This window comes from Homo sapiens, chromosome 13, assembly GCF_000001405.40.
Source record: "Homo sapiens chromosome 13, GRCh38.p14 Primary Assembly".
Lineage (NCBI taxonomy): Eukaryota > Metazoa > Chordata > Mammalia > Primates > Hominidae > Homo > Homo sapiens.
This window is the reverse complement of record NC_000013.11, coordinates 44,688,214-44,713,426: the sequence shown is the minus strand read 5'-3', so window position 1 is coordinate 44,713,426 and position 25,213 is coordinate 44,688,214. Positions and strand designations below refer to the sequence as shown.

General features: G+C 42.6%; 2 long non-coding RNA genes across 2 annotated transcripts in view, besides 1 other annotated feature; one reads left to right on the top strand and one right to left on the bottom strand.

The window, feature by feature from the left end:
• LOC105370185 (uncharacterized) overlaps positions 1–25,213 on the top strand; it is a 39,691-nt gene that overhangs the window by 10,751 nt on the left and 3,727 nt on the right. The gene's annotated exons all lie outside the window — the stretch shown is intronic.
• Positions 8,023–8,807: an enhancer, noted in NCBI's record as "OCT4-NANOG hESC enhancer chr13:45278756-45279540 (GRCh37/hg19 assembly coordinates)". NCBI's record gives its function as "activates a minimal SCP1, AML or CMV promoter by ChIP-STARR-seq in naive H9 embryonic stem cells {active_cell/tissue: H9 hESC(naive)}" and the evidence as "EXISTENCE:reporter gene assay evidence [ECO:0000049][PMID:30033119]".
• Positions 12,411–25,213, bottom strand: part of LINC00407 (long intergenic non-protein coding RNA 407) — a 60,648-nt gene continuing 47,845 nt past the window's right edge. Inside the window, exon 4 of the long non-coding RNA NR_149082.1 lies at positions 12,411–12,507. This is a non-coding gene — a long non-coding RNA (long intergenic non-protein coding RNA 407). The remainder of the gene's footprint in view (positions 12,508–25,213) is intronic.

Genomic DNA, 25,213 nt, shown 5'->3' with positions numbered 1-25,213 from the left:
TGCCACCAAGCCCGGCTAATCTTGTATTTTTAGTAGAGATGGGCTTTCTCCATGTTGGTCAGGCTGGTCTCGAACTCCCGACCTCAGGTGATCCGCCTGCCTTGGCCTCCCAAAGTGCTGGGATTATAGGTGTGAGCCACCGTGCCCAGCCTGTGTACCGTATTCTTACAACAAAGCAAGCTAGGGAAAAGAAAATGCTTTTAAGAAAATTATAAGGAAAAGAAAATATATTTACTCTTCTTCTTCTTTTTTTTTTTGAGACAGGGCCTTTTTCTGTCACCCAGGCTGGAGTGCAGTGGCGCAATCTCAGCTCACTGCAACCTTTCCCTCCCAGATTCAAGCTATTCTCGTGCCTCAGCCTCCTATGTAGCTGGGATTACAGGCGACAGCCACCAACGCCTAATTTTTGTATTTTTTAGTAGAGACAGGGTTTCTCCATGTTGCCCAGGCTGGTCTCGAACTCCTGGGTTCAAAGCAATCCACTTGCCTTGGCCTCCCAAAGTGCTGGGATTACAGGCGTGAGCCACTATACCCAGCCTATTTACTCTTCATTAAGTGGTAGTGGATCATCATAAAGGTCTTCATCCTCATCGTCTTCACATTAAGGAGGTAGAGGAGGAGGAAGAAGAGGGATTAGTCTTGCTGTCTCAGGGATGGCAGAGGTGAAAGAAAATCTGGGTATAAGTAGACTCACAAAGTTCACACCCATGTTGTTCAAGGGTCAACTGTCTCTAAAATAAAGTGTCTGTACCTAGTGGATACGCAAGACAATCTTTTGGAGCACAGTAAGAAAACATTTAAACTTAGATTTATTTTGATTTAAAATATGACAGAAGTTGGCCAGGCACAGTGGCTCATGCCTGTGTGCATGAGCACTTTGGGAAGCCAAGGTGGGTGATCACCTGAGGTTGGGAGTTCGAGACCAGCCTGGGCAACATGGTGAAACCCATGTCTACTAAAAATACAAAAAATTAGCTGGGCGTGGTGGCAGGCACCTGTAATCTCAGCTACTTGGGAGGCTGAGGCAGGAGAATTGCTTGAACCCGGGAAGCAGGGGTTGCAGTGAGCCGAGATCATGCCATTGCACTCCAGCCTGGGCCAAAAAGCAAAACTCTGTCTCAAAAAAATAAATAAATAAATGAAATAAATACGACAGAAGTTAAGCTTTACTAATAGTTAATCAATGGATTGGCACTGGTCTCCTCTCTCAGCCCACATGTCAGAAGGTTGAGTGTTCTGGATGATGGAGAAAGAAGCCTGAGGGCATCCCATGATTTGGCTGGAATAATAGCATCACTCTAATTTGATTGTTTTTAGTGTATTGGGACACAGTGCATTTGTGTATGGCAGGTTACATAGATTTATAGCTTTCATAATTTAGTTTTAATAAAGCTAAACTTGAAAAAATAGGTCAGTGACATGAAAATATTTTTTTCTAATGGAATCAGAGAGTAAAGCTAAGAACAAAGTTCTTACTTAGCCAGCATAAGTAAAACCACAAGAATATGGCACAGCAGACACCGCCTTTATTTGTCACATGAGGTAAAAATAAGGACAATCTAGTTCAGTCACATGGTCTCAACTAAAAATATTAGTGAGGGCAGAGTTATGGCTATTTTATTTTTATCTTATCCTTTTGAAAGTTCTATTTTTGTAAATATTTTTAACATACATAATATGTTAAAATGGCTTTATATGTACATAACTTTATAAAGAGATAAACATTTCATGAACTAGTGTTCTCAAACTTTTTTATTACTGGTGGCATGTGCAATCAAAACAGTACAGAGACCACTGCGAAAGAGAAGCAAACTAAAGCAAAAGAATATTCAACTGGCTGGGTGCAGTGGCTCACATCTGTGATCCCAGCACTTTGGGAGACCAAGGTGGGAGGATTGCTTGAGCCCAGGAGTTCAAGACCAGCCTGGGCAACATAGGGAGACCCCGTCTCTACAAAAAACTTAAAAATTAGCTGGGCATGATGGTATGTGCCTGTAGTCCAAGCTAGTTGGGAGGTGGAGGTAGGAGGATCACTTGAGCCTGGGAGGTCAGAGGCTGCAGTGAGCTGTGATCATGCCACTGCACTCTAGCCTAGGCAACCGAGCAAGACCCTATCTCAAAAAAAAAAAAAATTATTATTATTTCTCCAAATTCACAAAGCAAAAGAGTGAGAGCCAGATATAAGTTCTGGCTTGCTAGAGTCCCAACCACAGCCAGCTCCCACCTCTCAGGGGCTCTTTGATCTCCAAACTCCCACCTTCTTAAAATTTTTTTTCTAATATTACACAGTATGTGAATTAAACCCAAGATGTAGTAAAATAATGCTGTGGAAAGAATGAGAGTTCTGGGGTCAGCTGTAGGAATGTTGTCCAGGCCCTGCAATTTATCAGCCCTCTAACTCCCAGGGGTTTCGTTTACTCCTCTATCAAATGCAGGTGAATGACCTCATAGAGTTGCTGTGAGGATTACATGAATTAATAAATACGAAGTTTCCATCCTTCCCAGCCCTTGTGGCTATTATATTTTAATTCTAATTCATGAAATTTAACTCTAGAAAGTGAGTTTGGCCCAAATACTTCCATGAGTCAGGAGTCCTGTGGAAATGAATCATTTCCTCCATCCCCAACATACTCACATAGACAGCACCACCTCCACATCAACCTGAAACCTGAGACACTTTCACTTCAATTCTCCCCAGCCTATGACATCTGCACTGCAGTGCTCCCAGGACTCAACACTGAGCCCCTCTAGGATGCCTCACTCTGCCAAAGAGAATGTTCAGTTTCTTTTTTTTTTCTGGATGTAGTCTCACTCTGTCGCCTAGGCTGGAGCACAGTGGTGGGATCTACAGTGGTGGGATCTCGGCTCACTGCAACCTCTGCCTCCCAGGTTCAAGTGATTCTCCTGCCTCAGCCTCCCGAGTAACTGGGATTACAGACGCCCGCCACCACACCTAGCTAATTTTTGTATTTTTAGTAGAGAAGGAGTTTCACCATGTTGGCCAGGCTGGTCTTGAACTCCTGACCTCGTGATCTGCCTGCCTCGCTCCCCCAAAGTGCTGGGATTACAGGCGTGGGCCACCATGCCCCGCCTCAAGAATGTCCAGTTTCTATAACTCTCTTGGCAATACTAATGTACCATGTCACTAGGAGGCTAGATATGGAAGCCATGTTCCCTAGGGAGTCATATCAGAGTCTTGGAGTGGTGGTTTGGCAAAGTAGATCAATATAAAGGTGTAATTTTATTTTTATTTTTATTTATTTTTTTCATTTGTTTCTTTTTCTCTCTTTCTTTTTTTTGAGACAGAGTCTTGCTCTGTTGCCAGGCTGGAGTGCAGTGGCGTGATCTGGGCTCACTGCAACCTCTGACTCCCTGGTTCAAGCGAGTCTTCTGCCGAGTAGCTAGGATTACAGGCACGCACCACCACGCCCAGTTAATTTTTATATTTTTAGTAGAGATGGGGTTTCACCATGTTGGCCAGAATGGTCTCGATCTCTTGACCTCGTGATCTGCCCACCTTGGCCTCCCAAGTGTGCTGGGATTACAGGCATGAGCCACCGTGCCCAGCCTCATTTGTTGTATTTTTTTTAACTCAGCATCTAAAAGGGTATAATTTTATACTTAGAAAAAAGCTTGCATAATACAAACTACAAAAGGTAAAACTCAACAGGCCATGTTAACTGGTGAGGATATCCAGAAGAACCTGTGACTGTAATGGTGGGAGGTGGGAGGGAGTAGAGTTAGGGGAGCTCCTAAAGGAGGGAATTTCAGAAAAGGGTGAGTGTGAGAGTTTTATGTCTATAAAATGGGGACAAGGCTTAAAAACTAATGAGCAAGAGGACAGACAAAAGATTTGAAGAGACACTTCACCAAAGAAGACATTCAGGTGGAAAAAAAAGCATATAAATGGATGCTCAGCATCATTGGTCATTAGGGACATACACATTAAAATCATGAGGAGGTATCATGACACACCTTTTACAATGGCTTAAGAAAGAAGAACAAACTGAAAATACCAAGGATGATACCTCATACCTCGTTGGTGGGGATTCAAAATGGTCCAGTCATTTTGGAAAACAGTATGCCTACCATACAACACAGCAACCCCACTCCAAGGTATATACCATGTGAACTGGAAACTTATGTTTTCACAAAACCTATACATGGATGTTTATATTAGCTTAACTCATAATCAACCTAAACTGGAAACAGCCTAGATGTCCTTCAACTGGTGAATGGATAAACCATATCTATGCAATGAAATACTGCTCAGCAACAAAAAAGAATAAACGATTGATCTATACAACAACATAGATGAATCCAGAACCAAAGGGCTACATATTGTATGATTCCATTTATATTACATTATCAAAAATGCAAAAACTATAAGGACAGTTGCTGGGGGGTGAGGAGAGAAATTGACTACAAAGGACATAAAGGAATTTTGGGGGTGATGGAACTCTCCTGTATGTTACTATGATGGTGGATATACAACTTAATGCATTTGTCAAAAATCCATAGAACGATACAGGCCAAATAATGAATTTTACTCTATGGAAATTAAAAAAATATATAAACCAGGTTGTCGGAGGCCTAAGATGGAATGCATGCTGTGGCAAATGAATCCAGTGGTATCACAGACGAATGACACACCATGCTGAAGGGAGTGGGAGAAGAAAGGAGCCAACCTGAGGAACTCTGGAAAACAGCAGGTTTTTTTGGTTTTGTTTTGTTTTTTTGAGACAGAGCCTCACTCTGTCTCCCAAGCTGGAGTGCAGTGGTGTGATCTTGGCTCACTGCAACCACTGCATCCCAGGTTCAAGCGATTCTCCTGCCTCACCCTCCCAAATAGCTGGGATTACAGGTGCTCAACACCATGCCTGGCTAATTTTTTGTATTTTTAGTAGAGACAGGGTTTCACCATGTTGGCCAGGCTAGTCTTGAACTCCTGACCTCAGGTAATCTGCCTGCCTTGGCCTCCCAAAGTGCTGGGATTACAGGCGTGAGCCACTGTGCCTGGCCTCAAAACAGTGTTTTGAGTGGATACTGTAAGGCTAAAGACAAAAAAGAACTGGACACAAACACTATATTCTAGTAAGTAAATTTGTCTCTCACAGAGTATGAAGCAGCAATTTTGAAACGATCTGTATACTAGAGTTGAACAAATAAGGAACTGTATTGTAGATATTGTTAGCCAGGTTTCTTACTGGAGAAAGAAGTTACAAAAAAGCAAAGGAAGAATGCTAGAATAAAGCACCCTGTTCAGCTGGGTTGAGTGCGAGTTATCAGTATGAATTCATATGTGTTTTGTGTGTTTTTAATAAATATACAGATAGATCAGGGCTTTTCAACTTTGGCACTATGGACATTTGGGCTGGATTCTTCTTTGCTGGTGGGACCCCTCCTCTGCATTGTAGGATGGTTAACAGCATCCCTGGCCTCTACACAGTAGATACTAGTAATATCTTCCCTTTGAGTTGTGATGCCCCAAAATGTCTCCATAGATTGCCAAATATCCCCTGGGGGTGGGCAAAATTGCTCCAGGTTAGGATCTACTGAGGTAGAGATATACAGAAGTAAATACAGATGTGCATGTCTGCCTGGGTTAGTATACAAACAATATTTCCTAGCTCTGTTCCCTGAAAGGACCTAGAAATGGTGACACTCCAGTACTAATGAGTCACCTCCCACCCAGATCTTGGTTTCTAAATACCATTCTCCAATAAAAGGAAATAGGGCTCCTTAAAAAAGTGGTTGATTCCAGGACAGGAAAAATACAAAATAAGCCTGAAGCATCTTGTGGTACAATAAAAATAAGGAAGCTCAAAAAAAACAGGATGAGGGCTTGTTGAAACCTAAAAGAACTTGGACTAACCAAAGCTGGAACAATTTGAGCAACAATATCCATGAGTCTATAGTGATGTAAATGAATAAATGGAAGAGAAGGACAATTGTTCCTTCCAGAATTCAAATTACTCAATGTAGAAGAAACAAAGGAGGCTGGGCGCAGTAGCTCACGCCTGTAATCCCAGCACTTTGGGAGGTCGAGGCAGGCGGATCACGAGGTCAGGAGATGGAGACTATCCTCGCTAACACGGTGAAACCCGTCTCTACTAAAAATACAAAAAATTAGCCGGACGTGGTGTGGGCGCCTGTAGTCCCAGCTACTCAGGAGGCTGAGGCGGGAGAATGGCGTGAACCCGGGAGGCGGAGCTTGCAGTGAGCCGAGATTGCGCCACTGCACTCCATCCAGCCTGGGCGACAGAGCGAGACTCTGCCTCAAAAAAAAAAAAAAAAAAAAAAAGGAAATCATTAAAACTATTAGAACACCACGGTAATCATTGCAACAGACAAGAACCACTTATGAATGTTAAACAGGTGGGTGAGAGTTTAAGAAGAAACAGGATGTTAGGGAAACCCGGCAGATGTCACCTTAATCAAATAATCACTGTTAACATCACTGGTAATAAGACATACTGATATTATGTATCCCCTGGTACAATCCCCTGACAAGAGACCCCACCTGTGGTATTCTTCCCCCAAGTCTATAGCCCCAAACTAATCAGGAGAATATATCAAACAAACCCAAATTGAGGGACATTCTCCAACATCCCTGATTTGTAGTCTTCAAAACTGTCAAGGTCACAAAATACAAGGAAAGACCAAGAAACTGTAACAGACTAAAAGAGACTAAGGAGACATGCCAGCTAGTTACAATGTGGGTGCTGGAACAGAAAAAGGAGATTAGCAGGCGGGACGTGGTGACTCAGCCTATAATCCCAGCACTTTGGGAGGCCAAGGCGGGTGGATCACCTGAGGTCAGGAGTTCAAGACCAGCCTGGCCAACATGGTGAAACTCCATTTCTACTAAAAATAAAAAAATTAGCTGGGTATGGTGGCGTGTGCCTGTAGTTCCAGCTACTTGGGAGGCTGAGGCAGGAGAATCACTTGAATGGGAGGCAGAGGTTGCAGTGAGCTGAGATTGTGCCATTGCACTCCAGCCTGGACAACAGAGTGAGATACTGCCTCAAAAAAAAAAAAAAAAAAAGAAAAGAAAAAGGAAATTAGCAAAAAAAATTGGGAAAACCTAATTAGAATCCATAGTTTAGTTAACAATATTGAAGCAATGTTAATTTTTAAATTTTGCTAATTGCATCATGGTTATACAGGACAGTAACATTTGGGGAAACTGGGTGAAGACTATATGGGAACTCTCTGGACTATTTTTGCAACTTTTTGTAAGTCTAAAATTATACAAAAGTAAATAGTTTTAAAAAAGATAAGAAACATGGAAGTGTTTCTCTGCATAACAGCCTCAGTCCAATCACAACATAAAGTACATTCCAAATGCTAGACACTAACCCAAAAAATTCGTAAATTTTCTAGAAATTGCCACCAAAGGTCCATGGAGGTAATTAAGCAACACAAAGAATTCCTGTCTACCGTATATTCTTTAGTGTATTTTTAGTAGTGATGGGGTTTCATCATGTTGGCCAGGCTGGTCTTGAACTCCTGACCTCAGGTGATCCACCTGCCTCGGCCCCCCAAAGTGCTGGGATTACAGGCCTGAGCCACCGTGCCTGGCTTGTCATTTTCAAAATCATTGCATCTCCAGTGCCTGCCTGTTAGTAGGGACTCAAATATTTGATGACTGAATGAATGAATGGTACCTTCCTTGTAACTGTCGTGGAGATTAAAATTAGACAATGCATATGAAATGCTGGTTAGCACTCAATATTGAAGGGTAAGAGAACTGAGACTGCAGATATAGTTTGATTCTGGCTGAATTTGGGATAAGACAACTAGAAATTATAGGGAGATTCTTACCTATTGGCATGTAACTGTAAAAAACAGATAACAATTTCAAAGATCATTATTATGAAATTCTAGAAAAATAACTATGGCACATAAAGAGGAATGGTGACACTGCAAAGACTAGGCATTTAACAATATGAAAACAGATCAAAAATGTCTTTTTTTCCCCAGTTCACACACCTTCTATAAGCACTCTCCAAATTATGCCATGTTTTCATTTTCTTGGTGGCAGCGCCAGACATTCCTTATGTCTTGTGTGTTTGGAAGGTGCTGCACGAGACCAATTTTGTTTTTAAGAGGTGAGGACTAAACTCTGATTTTTTTTTTCTTGCCCAAATTCCTATCTAAGCGGTCTGGGGAGTCATGCCCTACAAATCATAAGTTCTCATCAGATGGGTTTTATTTAACTCACCCTGACTCTGGCAAAACATTACGAGACGATGAAGAAAATAAAAATATTTTACCCCAAAACATGTTTCTTTGCCATATTTTGAAATGGTCCTGCAAAGCCGTCCATTGTGGAGGAATACTTGCATCTGTAAAGAATCTCTATTAACATAGCCAGATCTTTTACTTCCAGGCCCTCCCAATCCTTAAGAGATTAAGATCTGAATAGGAAACATTTGTCATCTATTGTCTCTAAAGGCAGCCACTATAAGACTTCAAAAGAACTTTGGTCTCCACAATCTGCTATCTTAACCTGAACATTCCCTTTCTATCAATCCCAGGTCTTTAGACAAACTCAACCAATTGTCAACCAGAAAATGTTTAAATGTACCTGTAGCCTGGAAGCTCCCCAACCACCTCCCTTTTGAGTTGTCCCGTCTCTCTGGACCAAACCAATGTATTTCTTTCTTTTTTTTTTTTTTGAGACAGTCTCACTCTGTCGCCCAGGCTGGAGTGCAATGGCACCATCTCGGCTCACTGCAAGCTCCGCTTCCCAGGTTCAAGCAATTCTCCTGCCTCAGCCTCCCAAGTAGCTGATGCCCGCTATTATGCCCACCTAACTTTTGTATTTTTAGTAGAGATGGGGTTTCACCATGTTGGTCAGGCTGGTCTCGAACTCCCGAACTCAGGTGTTCGGGACATCAACCCTGACATCAACAGAGGACCAAAGCTAGCACATCATTGCTCTCCTACCCCCAGTCTTTTGATTAAAAAAATCTTCAATCTTTTATGTTCCTTAATAATCCATCCTCACGTATGTAATCACAACACTTTGGGAGGCCAAGGCAGGCGGATCACTTGAGCTCAGCAGTTTAAGACCAGCCTGGGCAACGTGGTGAAACCCCCGTCTCTATAAAAAATACAAAAATTAGCCAGGCATAGTGCCTGTAATCTCAGCTACTCAGGAGGCTGAGGCGGGAGGATTGCTTGAGCCTGGGAGGCAGAGGTTGCTGAGAGCCAAGATTGTGCCACTGCTCTCCAGCTCAGGTGACAGAGTGAGACTCTGTCTCTAATAATAATGATAATAATAATAATAATAATCCATCTTAGATTATCTTCCCAAACCATGGAACAGACCACATTCCTAAACCTGCAAGGAACACCACTGCCTATCTAGTGACCCAGAAACTCCTTGGACTTCCATTCCAGGCCACAATCTGGCTCCAAGTGTCTTTCTGATCTCAAACAAGGTCCCTCTGGTTTCTAGATATAGTGTATCATTCACAGTTTGCCACTCCCTAAACATTTATCCATATTCGGCAACCGTGTACTTATTCCTTAACCTGAAATTCCTCTCTCCACCATTCACACCACCATCAAAATTCTGCTCAATGCTTGGTTCAAACACATATTCTTGTGACTTCCCTTTTCAATGCAAAGCTTTCCTGTCCCCTACCCCTGCCCTTCGCTGTTTCTTCCATTGCACCCACTTCATCTTGCCATATTTTAGGTGGTGTTTTGTGTTTATCTCTTCTCCTACAACCACGGTTCTAGAGGGCAGAGACTGTCTGATTCCTTTTGGGAAATCTTCAGGGCTTTGCACAAAGCAGGTGACTCATGGAGGTCTGACAGACACATGTTCTCTTTGCAGCTCAGCTCAGCCTCTGTGGTTTAATATTTATGGAGAGTCCACTGTGAGGCAGGCCCTGGACAGAGCTCAGCAGCATCTTCTCTGCCACTCACATCTTCACTGAGATGTGTAACCAGGCAAATCCTGTGGACTTGGTTTTTCTTTCTTATCATCAAAAATCTTAATTTTTAAATGAAAATATAATGCTGGGTTCGGTGGTTTACACCTGTAATCCTAGCACTTTGGGAGGCCAAGGTGGGAGGATGGCTTGAACCCAGGAGTTCAAGACCAGCCTGGGCAGCATAGTGAAACCCTGTCTCCACCAAACACACACACACACACACACACACACACACACACACACACACACACACACACACACACACAATTTAGCCAAGTACAGTAGCATGTTCCTGTAGTCTCAGCTACTTGGGAGGCTGAGGTGGGAGGATTACCTGACCTTGGGGAGGCTGAGGCTGCAGCAAGCCATGATTGTGCCACTGCATTCTAGCCTAGCCTGGATGACAGAGTGGGGACCCCCATCTCAAAGAGAGAAAGAGAGAAAGAAAGAGAGAGGGAGAGAGAGAGAGAGGAAGGAAGGAAGGGAGGAAGGAAGGAAGGGAAAGGGAAGGGAAGGAAGGAAGGAAAGAAGGAAGGAAGCAAGCAAGCAAGAAAGAAAGAGAAAGAAAGAAAGAAAGAAAGAAAGAAGGAAAGAAAGAAAGAAAAAGAAAGAAAGAGAAAGAGAGAGAGAGAGAAAGAGAGAAAAGGGAGGGAAGGAAGGAAAGAAAGCAAGAAAAGGGCGGGAAGGAAGGAAGGAAGTTAGGAAGTTAGGAAGTTAGGAAGGAAGGAAGGAAGGCAGGCAGGCAATATAGGTAAAGTGTAGCAGCTAGGCTGGGAAAGAAAATAGACCAAAACATTAGACAAACCCACAGGTAACAAATGGTGTGTAAACCTTTAATATCTTTTGATTTTGTGACATTTTAAACCTCATATTCATCCCCTCATTTGGTACAGTAGTTACTTAACTGGTACAGAATCAAGTGTTATGTTCATAATAGGATTGAGATATGGTGGCACATTTATATAACTGAGCTTAAAGCGGGGGATGGAGAGAATGTTAAGCAAGTTACCTAATAGTAATAGAAGGTTATTTACAAAAATAAAGAAAACAACCTAAATGCTCATGAGTTGGGCACTCATTAAATAAATTGGTGCATATCCATACCTGTAACACATTGTACCATCATGGGAAAATAAGCATAATATGTAGTTTATTTGGTAAGAAAAGCAAGTTATGAAACAACGCATTTGGTATATAATTTGTGTTGATAAAAACTTTCTGTATAAGTGCACATACATGTAAATTAAAAATATAAATTGTCTATATATACATATATAGTATATATGTGTAAAAAATATAATATATATTAATATAGCTATATAATTATATATATTATGATATAAAATATATAATATACATAAATATTTGCTATATAAATATTTATATAAAAATACACTACATATTTTCTTTTGGAAGAATTCGTACATTATATTTATTTTATTATTATTATTTTTTTGAGACAGAGTTTCACTCTTGTTGCCCAGGCTGGAGTGCAATGGTGCTGTCTCGGCTCACTGCAACCTCCACCTCCTGGGTTCAAGTGATTCTCCTGCCTCAGCCTCCTTAGTAGCTGGGATTACAGGTGCCTGCCACCGCACCCAGCTAATTTTTTTGTATTTTTAGTAGAGACAGGGTTTCACTATATTGGCAAGGCTGGTCTCGAGCTCCTAACCTGAAGCAATCCACCTGCCTCAATCTCCCAAAGTGCTGGGATTACAGGTTTGAACCACTGCGCCTGGCTTGAATTTGTACATTATAGTTACCCACAAAGAAAGGAATTGGAGGGGAAGCACAAAGTGTGGGAAAGGGAGAAATAATGTTCAGTTTTTACTTATATTTCTGTGTTATTTGAATTTGTTTTAATAACTGCATATTATTTTTGCAATTAAAAACAACAATAACAGCAAAATCACTAAAAGAAAGAGGAAGTTCCCTGGGCAGAAGTCTGTCAGGATTGCAGTAAACATACAGGGGGCCTCCAAAACCCAAAGAGGAGCTGTCAGTGGGCCACAGAGAGCTGGAGCCACTGTCCTCTTTGGGGACCTGCCCTCTATTGATGTGAATATGAGTTTGTCAAAACGGACCCCACATTAACAGAGCCTCAGGAAGGACCAGCCACCTGCCTGGTCATCATTGCTCTTTGATAGGGGACAAATGGATTTCCCTCCTGTTAGAAACATCTTCAGGGAAGGATTCAAGAGTCACCTGGCAGTGTAGGCTGGAATTGGTGGCCACCTATAATCCAGGCCTCCCTGGCCGTGCATGTGTCCTACTCACATTTGAACCTCTATAAGGACACCTAGTCGGGACTTTTTCTAAATAAGTATTGATAATAAGTTTTGCAGGATATCCTTAAGTTGTTCCTTGGCATTCTGTCTTTTAGGTAGAGTCATCTCAGTTCATCTTTCCTCCCAGTACATATGTATTGACTCGCAAATCGTTTCTGCTCAAAGCAAGATTTCCTTGGTTGTTTTTCATGCAAGGTTGGTACAGGAGACAGAGCTGGCTTTGTCCTGAATCTTCTGTTTCCTTCTCGGTGCTTCAGTGTCCTCATCTGTAAAACCAAAGGGTTGCACCAGATGATCTCCAGGGTCTTTATACACACTTAACATTCATGTTCCTGTTCATGAATCTTTGAATGGATACAGGCTCTCTACCAAGAGCTGTGTGGGGCATTGTGAGGCCCCCAAATTTATAGTTTAAGTGAATATGAAATCCTTTCTCTTTTTATTGGTCCTTTGTCCTTTTTCCAAGGCAAAAAACTAACCCTTGTTCATGTTATAACCTGATACAGAATCTGACAAAGGGGCAAGCACAGAAAACAGCAGAAACTACATTAAGGGTGCCCATTCTGCCACGTTCAAAGATGGAGGCCCATTGGCAGGCACTGCATCCGACACTAAAAGGTGCTCAATATAAGTTCTTTGAAGAGGTAAATGATTGAATAAACAATGCTACCAGCTGAGAGGAAGGCTAACTTGTTCAGAGAAAAGCTTGAGTTGCCTGAAATGGACCTTGAGGGCCAGTTTGAAGGTTCCCGAAGGCCCACAGCAACTTCTGTTGGCCATGAATTGCCTTCTCTTCTGTGGAGATCTCCTTGATGGCTAAGAGTTTCTCAAGGTGCAGTGAATGAGGAGAACAACATGGCAGCATGAGACTGGCCATCCCCACCCACAGAATGTTCTTAAACAGAAGTAGTTTTAATCTGTCAACAAATAGAGCCCTTTATTTTTCAATTAAGTTGGAAGGTAAACTAACCATTAGTGAAAAGATACAAATAAAGGTTTTTTTCTGGGTCTGTTTTAGCAAGTAGATGCTACCCATTTAAAGGAAGCATTTTTTTAAAAAGCCTGAATAATGCTTGAAAGTTATTTTGTTGTCTTAAGTAGGTTAATTTGTCTATATTTTTGTTTATTTTATTTTATTTTATTTTTGAGACAGTCTCACTCTGTTGCCCAGGCTGGAGTGCAGAGGCATGATTTCGGCTCACTGCAACCTCTGCCTCCCAGGTTAAAGCGATTCTCCTGCCTCAGCCTCCTGAGTAGCTGGGATTACAGGCGTGTGCCACCACTACCAGCTAATTTTTGTATTTTTAGTAGATATGGGGTTTCACCATGTTGGCCAGGCTGGTCTGGAACTCCTGACCTCAGGAGATCTGCCTGCCTTGGCCTCCCAAAGTGCTGGGATTACAGGGGTGAGTCACCGCACCCAGCCTTGTTTATTCTTTTTTTTTTTTTTTTTGAGATGGAGTCTTGCTCTGTTGTCCAGGCTGGAGTGCAGTGGTGCGATCTCGGCTCACTGGAGCCTCTGCTTCCTGGGTTTATGCAATTCTTTTGCCTCAGCCTCCCGAGTAGCTGGGACTACAGGCGCACACCACCGTGCCTGGCTATTTTTAGTAGAGACGAGGTTTCAACATGTTAGCCAGGATGGTCTCGATCTCCTGACCTCGTGATCCGTCTGCCTCGGCCTCCCAAAGTGCTGGGATTACAGGCGTGAGCCACCACACCCGGACTGCCTTGTTTATTCTTTAATGGTTTAACAAGTTCTTCGAAGATAACACAAAGAGAAACGTTAGCCAACTTTAATTATTCGCAGATGCCCAAATTCAATTATTCATATTAATTTATAATAGGAAAATTATATGTTAAAGTACACATTAGACACTTCCAAAGGCTTCTACCTACTTATTGTGGTGCCAGTCTTCTTTGTCAACTTATATTTTGCTGTATCTTTCTGATCTCTATTAATAATTCTTTTATTTTTCTGCTGGTCCTTTGTTCCTGCTAGATTTTCTAGTTTTAACTTCTCATGACATCATACAACCAAATGGCACCAAGCTGCACTGTTTCCAGTATCTTTAAAAGGTTGGATTTAAAATGCTTAAAATGTTGTGTGTGCTATCAGCAAATCAACATACATGAAGAAGATCCAAATGTGGTGTGGTCTCTTTTTAGTGTCTCTTTTTTTTTCTCAGCAAAGTAGTATGGAATTGGTCATTGTCAAAGTAAGAAAGAAGCAGTCAATGCAACAGTGTGGCCTAGGATGGGAGAAGGCTTAACAATGGTCAGCAGACCAGGTCTATGATTTAGGGACCATAAGTTCGCCTTTCGGGGCCTCAGTTTCCCATTGGCAAAAAGAAGCCATTGAAGCCGACTGAGCTCGGTGTTTGCAGTCCTGATTTTCAACTGTATTGTGAGAGGCAGTATTTGGGAGTAGCTGGTATGATTTCTAACCCATTTTAGATCAACCAGAAAGGAATAATGTAGATCTTGAGAAATATGACTATTGGGATGCCCCTGAGAAACAGGTAGTCACCTCTCTTCCTGGCGAGATGAGGAAATTGTGGTTTAAAAATAAAAAGCCCTGAGTTGCATCCTTCACTCACTGATTAGGAAAAAAAAGCTAAATCAGTATTTTTCTTAACAAAACAAAACTATAAACAGAAGGTTTTGAGGTAAAAGGAAAGTAAGTGAGAATAAAAATAAGTTTATTAAGTATTTTAAATTGTAAGCCACCCAATTGTTCCAAAACACAAAAGCCTTCCCTGTTTTTGTTACTCAGTGGCCCTGTGATTTAAAGCTGCTGACAACACCAGTCGCTCACAATGACACTGTCCCCCTTTCTTCCGCGCACAGTGCACAGTCCTAGCAGACACTCATTTGTATGTATGGTTTCAGCCTGTCTGCCGTGTCTGGCCAAAGGGACAGATACTAATGGCATATGTTAATTACTATCCAACAACTTCCTTTCATTAGAGTGTTTATTAACATTCTCACTTCTGCCCATTGAACCAGCTGGCACGAGGGTCTGCTGGCAGCCCTGAGTTCACGTGCTGTTTTCACTCTGGGCTCACAAGATGTAATAGATTTTTCCTTTTGAATAATGAAACTCTGTTTCTAGCTCAGCCGAGAGCTTTCTGAGATGTCCAAAAGATGACACCAAAATAATAACTTTGAAACAAATGCTTTGCCATCGCAGCCATCATCAGAATTGGTCTAGATATATTTTGCTACTATAACAGGATAGGCATCCATCTATCTGTTTAGACATCTCTTTATCACTAGCTGGTACCAAATAACCCTTATTCTAACTGTACATACTCAGAAGCTATGAGATAATATATGTATTAGTGAGAATATAAACGATTTTAGAAGGAACAACAGCCTTCTCTAAATACATCTCCAGGCCAGGTGCGGTGGCTCATGCCTGTAATCCCAGCACTTTGGAAGGCTGAGGCAGGTGGATTACTTGAGATCAGGAGTTCAAGGCCAGCCTGACCAATATGGTGAAACCCCCATCTCTACTAAAAATACAAAATCAGCCGGGTATGGTGGTAGGAGCCTGTAATCCCAGCTACTCAGGAGACTGAGGCAGGAGAATTGCTTGAACCTGGGAGGCAGAGGTTGCAGTGAGCTGAGATCGGGCCACTGCACTCCAGCCTGGATGACAGCGAAACTCCAGCTAAAAAAATCCCAAACGATTTCCAGACTAGATTTCTCAATAGCATGACAATATACAGTTTACTAAAATTTAAGAGGGTGGGGATTGGGAAACAGGGGGAAAGTAAAATATTGGGGGAAAGGTCTAAAATGCCAAAACTGTGGACAGCATGATAAACTATCAACTGACATCTACAGCATTCATATTTCACAATAACAGCACCATTAACCATAAAAGACTCTTTAGATCTGTCTATTTCACTGACTGCACATGTGCCTTTAAAGTGCTGTGAGGAGGGTGATGGACAAGCCACCACCAGAATGACAAAGCAGGAATGACATGGTAAACAAGTGTTCTTCAGCAACCTCCCCCAGTGACGATGTCCCTCAGCCATCACTTGTGGCAGAATATCAAATGCAGTAAAGAGTTAGTGCAGAATGCTAAAGAAGGCAATTCTTAGACAGTTGCTTTGTTGGCATCATAGTAGATGCCACTTTAAAGGGGACCAGAAGTTTTGTTCTCATCTAATCAAGCTCCCTTGCCACAAATATTATTAGACGAATGGCTTTGTTTTGTTTTGTTTTGTTTTTGCTTTCAAATTAGAACACAACAAAGAAAACTAATTTTGTCAAAGGATTCCATAGCTGCAAAAGACATGGGGCTTTAGTACCTTCTTTTTAAATTAAAGCGAAAGCAGGTCTATGCATTATATTCTTAGTCCTGTGAGGAGGCCACACTCCTTTTCTTTTTCTTTCTTTCTTTCTTTCTTTCTTTCTTTCTTTCTTTCTTTCTTTCTTTCTTTCTTTCTTTCTTTCTTTTTTTTTTTGAGATGCAGTTTCGCCTTGTTGTCCATGCTGGAGTGCCGTGGCATGATCTCAGCTCACTGCAACCTCCACCTCCGGGGTTCAAGCGATTCTCCTGCCTCAGCCTCCTAAGTAGCTGGGATTATAGGTGTCCAGCACCACGCCTGGCTAATTTTTTGTATTTTTAGTAGAGACTGGGTTTCACCATGTTGGCCAGGCTGATCTTGAACTCCTGGCCTCAGATGATCCACCTGCCTCAGCCTCACAAAGTGCTGGGATTACAGGTGTGAGCCACCGCCCCCGGCCCAGCCCACACTCCTTTTCTTCTCGCTCCTCAGGTCCCAGCCACCAGAACCACCAGCTCCCCAGGATATGTGATGTGAAGCTAAGACCATACTTAGTCACATTCTCTCATGGGTCAAGGAGCCCTGGGCAGGAAAGTCTTTGGCATTTTGTGGGAAGGCAGATGGAGGAGTGCCACCAGCCATAAGAAGGATGCTTTAGTGGGGGGTACTCATCGAATCAACAAATACGTGTTACCTACAAACAGCTGATATTCAGCTGTCATGCACCAGTATGGCTGTATCTACTAATTTCTAAAATATCAAAATACTTCTGTGCTGATTGGCAAAACGTCTCTACCTTGAACCTCGCCAGTGCCTTCCTCTGCTGCAGACATAGCAATCTCTTCCCCAGGACCCCCTGAATTCCGTAAGACCAGCATTAGCACCTGGCTCTATGGTGGCCTCCAGGACTCTGCTCCAGCACTGGGGCTGGCATTGTACAGAAACAGCCGTGCTGCTGACATGGATGTATATATTCAGACTATCATCCTTGCCTATGGTGTCTTGGAATTAAGGTGGTATTGGTGATACACAGAAGAATCAAACACTGACCAGCGTCTTCCAGGAGCTCCCAATTTGGTGGATCATGAAAAACACTCTGTGCTAAGCCCCAGGAATTTTGAAATGGTGCCACTTTGGTGAAACTAATCTGCAGGTTTGGAAACTAGACTGTTTCAACCTGCTAGAGTGAGTCAGGTTCTCAGGGACAGATCCACATCACTCAAGCTCTCAGGAAGCGGCTATCTAAACCAAAATGACAATTTATTAATTTGCAACAAGAAATAAGAACTTCTAAGCTGAGTGGACATTTGTGTCACCTTGACTAACATGTTCTTTCCCAGTAGAAAACTAAAAGGAAGACAAATGGTAATGAGAATGCCGCTTGAGCACAGGCTGAGCAGGGGATATTAGAAGGAAGGTTTAATGTCAAAGGGTGTCTTTTTTTTCTTTTTCTTTTTAGACAGAGTCTCACTCTGGCACTCAGGCTGGATCTGGAGTGCAATGGCACGGTCTTGGCTTACTGCAACCTCCACCTCTTGGGTTCATGCAATTCTTCTGCCTCAGTCTCCTGAGTAGCTGGGATTACAGGTGCCTGTAGCCACACCTGGCTTATTTTTTGTATCTTTAGTACTAATAGGGTTTCATCATGTTGGCCAGGCTGGTCTTGAACTCCTGACCTCAAAAATGATCCACCCGCCTCAGCCTCCCTAAGTGCTGGGATTACAGGCGTGAGCCACCGTACCCAGCCAGGTGCCAAATTTTCTTAAGCTTGTCCCTTCATCTCTTCTTTGGGGACAGACCTGCCAAACAGATAGGACTGGATGTTCCCATGAGGTCACCCATGCACTGCCCCCTTGGCTAGACCTTCCTCTCTGACTCCCACTTTCCCTGTTCCATGCAGACATCCCGCTTTGGTTGACATGTTCTATCTTTAGATTTGCTAATACAACCAACCAGCCTCCTGCCAAACTCTGTTGATTTCTTATTCCTAGCTTGGAAGGTAGGTCCCCTTTCCCAACCTCCTCAACCGCCACACACCGAGATCCTACTGTTTGAACTAGACTGTTATCATTTAACTCATTGGTTCCCAATTTGGCTGAACTTTTGAAGTATCTGAGAAATTTTTTAAAATACTGATGCCTGGTTCCCATCTCCAGAAATTCTGATTTAATCGATATGGGGTACAATCTGAACACTGGGCTTTTTTAAAGCTCCCCCAAAATATGTGACCAGAATGTTGGGGTCCTAAAGAGTTAAAATTCAAAGGAAAGAGTTTTTTATATTTGAGCAAAGTTTAAGAATCACTGATTTAGCTCTCAGAGTTGGCAGATGCTTCCACCTGCACCAGCTCTTAGCAAATGCCAGTATTCCAGCCTGACATGCTGAATTATTTGGTCTGGGGTAGGAGCCAGGCATTAGGCATTTTTGCAGAGCTCCCCAGATGAGTTCAATGTGTAGCCAAGGCTGAAGTGCACTGGTCTAAATATCAGTTTATCTGACTGTTCTGTGTCAGTTCCTTCTTGGACATGCATTGCACAGAGCAGAACACAGAAGAGCCACCTGGAGAAAGGTCTGTAAAGGTGAGCAGCAGGGGCCTGTGTGTGTGACCCCATGGCAAACACAGGAAGAGCATGTGGGCACAATGTGGCAGATGAGCTCAAAGCATGTTTGATTCTCTGCTTCCATACCAAATTTATGATATTTCCCTGGCATGGACATGGGCTGGGCCATAGAATCCTGGGGCCATTTTCTACCATAGCTTTGGGCAACTTTTTTTTTTTTTTTTTTTTTTTTTTTTTTGAGACTGAGTCTTGCTCTATCGCCCAGGCTGGAGCACAGTGGCACCATCTTGGCTCACTGCAACCTCCACCTCCCGAGTTCAAGCGATTCTCCTGCCTCAGCCTCCTGAGTAGCTGGGATTACAGGCACTTGCCATCATGTCCGGCTAATTTTTGTATTTTAGTAGAGACAGGGTTTCACCATGTTGGCCAGGCTAGTCTCGAACTCCTAACCTAAGGTGATCCACCCACCTCAGCCTCCCAAAGTGCTGAGATTACAGGCATAAGCCACCGCACAGCTTTGGGCAACTTTAATAGAAGTCGATGAGTCTGGGTGTGCTTGAGAAAGTGTGCTCTGCTGCATGCTTTTCCACGAGGACTCTGACTTCCTTGTCTTCTGTGGGTGCTCTTTGGCTGCTCCCTTGCCTCTCCAGCAGCGACTCTGGCTTTCTGGAGGCCGCCATCTTGAAAGAGGCCATCCTGCATTTTTGTGCTACTCTCTTTAGCAGTAGCTATGCTTGGCAGAGAAGCAAGAGACTGGAGAATTCCAATCTGTCATCTTCATAAATTGCCTAAGGATTTTCCATTTTCCTCACAATTCTCTAACTTCCTGTTGTCATTTTGAACCTTTCCAGCGTGCATGAGAATTCATTTGTGTTTTCCCAGTGTGCGCAGTCTTGTCTGGTGGCAGGGCATCTGGGAAAGCCATCAGCTCTGCTCTGTAAGTAACTTTTTAAAATAAAATGCATTCCTAGGAGAGGAAAAGGCAGTGGGCAGGGCAGAGGACTGCTCCAGCACCTCCACCCTTCCTTTTCCTGGGACTTCCAGTCATGGGACTTGGAACTAAATTTTGAGAGTAGGGACAAGGGGGACAGAGGAGGGCCACCATATACGGTTGGGCAGGTGACACACAGCACAGTTCTAGGGACATCATTGACAGCATTCTATGGTCACAGAGCCCTACAGCCACTGCCCCCACTGCCATATCCCGCAGTCCTGGCAGAAGCACTGTTTTTTTGAATTCCAGCTCTTCAGCGGCCTCAGATTCTGGTTACATTGTGCTTCTGAGAATAGTAGCACCAGAGAAGTCGCTTGTTTGCTCTGAGATTCACTTTGTTCATCTAGAAATTAGTAGGTGCATAATTTCTAAAAGTCACTTACTGCAGGCCTGCGGGAGCCCAGCTGTTGGCATGACTGAAACCATTTGCATCTAATCTCTGATAAAATAGAGAGAACATTAATTTGAATCTGCTAGCAGATATCTTAGAGATCATTTGTCTGACACCTGCACCAAATTTCTCCACATGAGGAAAGCAGAGGTATAAAGTCACACAGTAAGCTTGTGGCAGATAACACCCAGGTCCTCTTGATTATGTTATCCCTGAGCATCCCCACTCCCTGCCCTGTCATTACTAGAGCAATAAACCAAATTTCACTAGTTTGTGCCCACACCAGCTCAGCCAGGACCTCTTCAGTCCTCTGCAATATGTCTTCCCGTGTTATTTCTACAAGTCTCTGTATACTCATGGACAAATTAACTCCTGCTACGCACTCATCATTCCACTGATCACCAACAGGGATCACTGTGCTCACTAGGCCTCTTTTTCCCCCCAGATACCTTCTGGTGCTGCTGTCTCATACCACAGCAGTGGAAAGCAGCAGGGCCCTCAGGATACTAAAGTTACCCTGTCTCCCCCCTCTCTTTGTTTTAGTGTATAAACCCTAAGTTAAGCTATATTTTTGCAAGCTCTGATGTTCTCTTTGTAGAACTTGCAAAGATGACAGGGGCAAGCTGTTCATGTGAAGCTCCTGCTTCCCTTAGGGTGAGTTCTTTCCCAGAAGGCTTCTCTGTTCTTCATGCAAATAATGTCTTATAGGCCAACCCCAGCAGTTTATGATTTATGTCCAGAGTGGAATCCCAGCTTAGATGCAAGGTGGGGTTCCCTTTATACTCAACATTTCCTTCTTTTATGTCCATGATGATAATTGGATATTGAAGGATCTAGTTGGCTTGAGGGGAGGAGGTGCGATTTGACGTTTGTTATGAATGTGGTCTAAAATAAGACTGACTTTGTGTCTCTCGATTTTTTCATCTATGAAAGCCCCCATTCCATCCCCATCAGTCTGCACATTCAATTACTGCAAACTCTAGCAGAATAGGACAGTGCCCAAGAAGCAATTGTCGTCTGCCCACTGCACCTCCAAGGTAAACAGATGCAGATCCAGGCTTTGCAAGGCCTGAGGCTTGTATAATTTTTGGCACCATCTTTGTTTGTTTGTTTGTTTATTTTGAGATGCAGTCTATCCCTATTGCCCAGGCTGGAGTGCAGTGACATGATCTTGGCTCACTGCAAACTTCACCTCCTGGGTTTGAGCAATTCTCCTGCCTCAGCCTCCCAAGTAGCTGGGACTGCAGGTGCCCGTCACCACACTCGGCTAATGTTTGTATATTTAGCAGAGACAGGGTTTTACCATGTTGGCCAGGAGGTCTCGAACTCCTGACCTCAAGTGATCTGCCTGCCTTGGCCTCCCAAAGTGCTGGGATTACAGGCATGAGCCACTGTACCTGGCTTTTGGCACCATCTTAAATAAAAAAGACTACACGAAGAAGAAAAAAAAAGAGTACAAAATGCCTAATACAAAGTCAGGTACAAAAGTGATTTCTTTAGAATTAGAAAAGAAATCACAACAGATTTAAAAATATAAAAAGCTGATCAATAACAGAAACACTACAAAACCTAGAAAAATATTATCATAATTTTTTTTTTTTTTTTTTTTTTGAGACAGAGTCTTGCCCTGTTGCCCAGGCTGGAGTGCAGTGGTGCAATCTCGGTTCACTGCAACCTCCGACTCCTGAGTTCAAGCAATTCTCCTGCCTCAGCCTCCTGAGTAGCTGGGATTACAGGCATGCGCCACCATGCCCAGCTAATTTTTGTATTTTTAGTAGAAACGGGGTTTCACCATGTTGGTCAGGCTGGTCTCGAAGTCCTAACCTCAGGTGATCCGCCTGTCTCAACCTCCCAAAGTGCTGAGATTACAGGCATGAGCCACCATGCCCAGCTATTGTCATAATTTTTATTGCTAAACTGCCAGGCACATCTTCCTAAATGCCTTTTCATTACATTTTTGGGGGCTGCACACTTATTTACATTACCATGATTTTGTACTATCAATGCCTATAGCGATCATAAATAATTCAGTCTTCCCTCTAGCATGATTGAGGGGAAATTGTCTTTTATTACTATTGATAATTAGAAAAGTTTTCTTGGCTTCACAACATGTTATTGGTCATATGTAAACTTTTAGGATCGGGAGAACCTCTACCAAATTTCTTTCATATATAAGCCATAAGATTCCAGGGCATTCAAGTGTTTGCACAGTAGCTAATCTTCAATGCTTTTTGGATTGGTGATACGCATTAACTGAGTTTGTGGGAGGGATTCTAAAACTTAAGCTGCAGTAACCTCCTGGAAACCTGCCTCCTTGACTTCCCACCCATCTTCTCTGGAAAATGAGTAGGAAACGCCCAACAAACCTCTTTCTCATCCCCACTGCTACCTGCCAGTGTGCTGGGGTGGCTACAACCATTGCCATTGCTCAGATCTAGCTTAGAATGAACGTGTGCATAGATGGCAGCTGCGGCCGAGATACTGAAACTAGAATCAGGGTCCCAAGCTGACTTCCTTCTGGTGCTTAAAGCACTTCCACTTAGTAAGTGGATACATTTAAGTTGGATCAAGTCACTAAGAAAACGTTGGGCATGAATTCTTGTTCTTGTGTATTACACGCACTGTGTCTTCTTTCTTTGATTGAGTGGTTTTCAAATGTGCTGCACAGACCCCTGGGTTTCCTTGGAGGTTTCTCAGGGACCACTTAGATGAGTGTGAGAGAAGGTGGTGCCTTGATCAGGGGATGGGGAGCACAGTGGTCGGGGCTCTTGGTCCACTGTCAATCATACTTCATCAGATTCAACGGAATTAAATGCAAGTGTTTTGCTTGAAAATGTTTGAAAAATTTTCCAATCAGCTCATTTTGATCAGGAACAAGCATTATGCTTCCTAGATCTGTCCTCTCTGCCATTTAAAAATCTTATCAATTTATTTGCCAACAATGAAGAGTCAAAGCACTTGCATAAATGCAATTAAATGATTATCCTGCTTCTGTGTTTTGCTACTACACATTCATAGAATATGTATGTCGGTTTGTTTCAGGATTACAATCTTTTTGCTTTACTTTGTTTTCAGTCTTCTGTTCAAAATGCAGTTGTTTGAATGAAAAACATTTTGTTTCAGTTACTTAACACAGATGCCCTGGGAACACCAACATTTCTTGGTACAGCAGGGACACATCTACCGTTTGGCATTTAATAAGTTGTTTTTTTAAAAAAAAAAAAACTTTCCTTTTTAGCTCTCAGTGCTATTCCTGTATTCACTTGAGGTTTGCCCTAGTATTTCTTCTCTGGCTTTCTTTACCAAGCTCTACATTTTGCCAACTCTTCCATTTAGGTGTCTGCTTTTGTAAGATAATTTGCGAATGAGGCATGATTCGCATTTTTTCATATGTTGTTTGTCAGTTTTATGTTCTATCCAATTCTCTCTCTCTCTTTTAAAGGTCATGGTACATGTATTACTTTTCTCTCTTCTTTCTTATCTTCAGGAGCTGGTCAGGAATTACATACCTTAGGCGACTAGTAAGTCAACTTATACTTGGTTAGGTAGCTACTTGAATGACTTGGTACTTCTGATTCCAAGTCTTCCTTCCTGTTTTTTTTCCTCTTCTGTGGGCTGTTTAGGAGATGACTTTGGCTCCGTCTCTGATTCCACATGTTCCACCTGAGAAATCCTACCTACCACTATTGCTCCAGTACCACATGTGCAACAATGACACCCATTTGTCTCTGAAGCTGAGTCTGCTTTCCTGAGTTCCAGACCCACATTTTTAATGACTAGCAAGCTCTCACTAGGAAGTCCCCCAGTGCCTCAAACACAATGTGTCCAATATTAAATTATACCTTGCAATAAAGGATTAATTTGCCTCTACGTCATGTGATAAACCACTGTGTTTGCTCTTTAATGCTATTTACTTTTGAGAGAAGTATAATGTGAATTCAATAAATCCCTTTTCAGGATTGGCCATATTCAAAATGGAAAGAACAAGTTCAAAATAAAATAGCTATTTTTAGAAGTAATCTGTTATGCTTTCATGTGAGGTAGTCAAAACAAGACACTGCTCATTGTGATAAAGGTTCACCAACCTTCTGGGACTCTAACACTCAGTCCTCTGGTGGGGGAGGCACATGCCCAAGCTGGTTCATGACCCATAGCTATAAGACTATAAAATATGGAACATTTTCCATTAAAAATATTAATTTTGAAAAATTTTAACAACCTGTGAAAACATACCTTTTTTGACTGAAATTTGGAACAAAACATCTTTTCCCAGGAGAGATACTTACAAGTATCTAAAAGTCTAAATCATTTAATCCTTTTACAGCCATTCATCATCCCACCAAATATTTGCTAAGTGCTTTCTTGTACCAGGCACAGTTCTAGATGCTGGGGGGCTGTGGAGAACAAGGCAGACAGTGCAGTTCACCTTCAGGAATCCAGTAAACAAGTAAACAAACACAAAACACCAAAACAGCCTGACTTGAAAGAGTGGTAAGTAAGGTGGGGAGAGGAAGCAGATGGAGGGAAGGAGCGTGACAGATGAATGGGGGTGCTTCTTTGGACAGGTAGTGAGGGAAGGCACCCTTTGGATAGAAGCTTGAGCAAGATAAGAATAAGCTATGCAGAGATCTAGACGGAGAGCATTCCAAGTGAGGGAATAGCAAGTCTAAACGTCCAGAGGTGGGAATGAGCTTGGTATGTTAAGCAGAGGGTCTTAACTTGGGG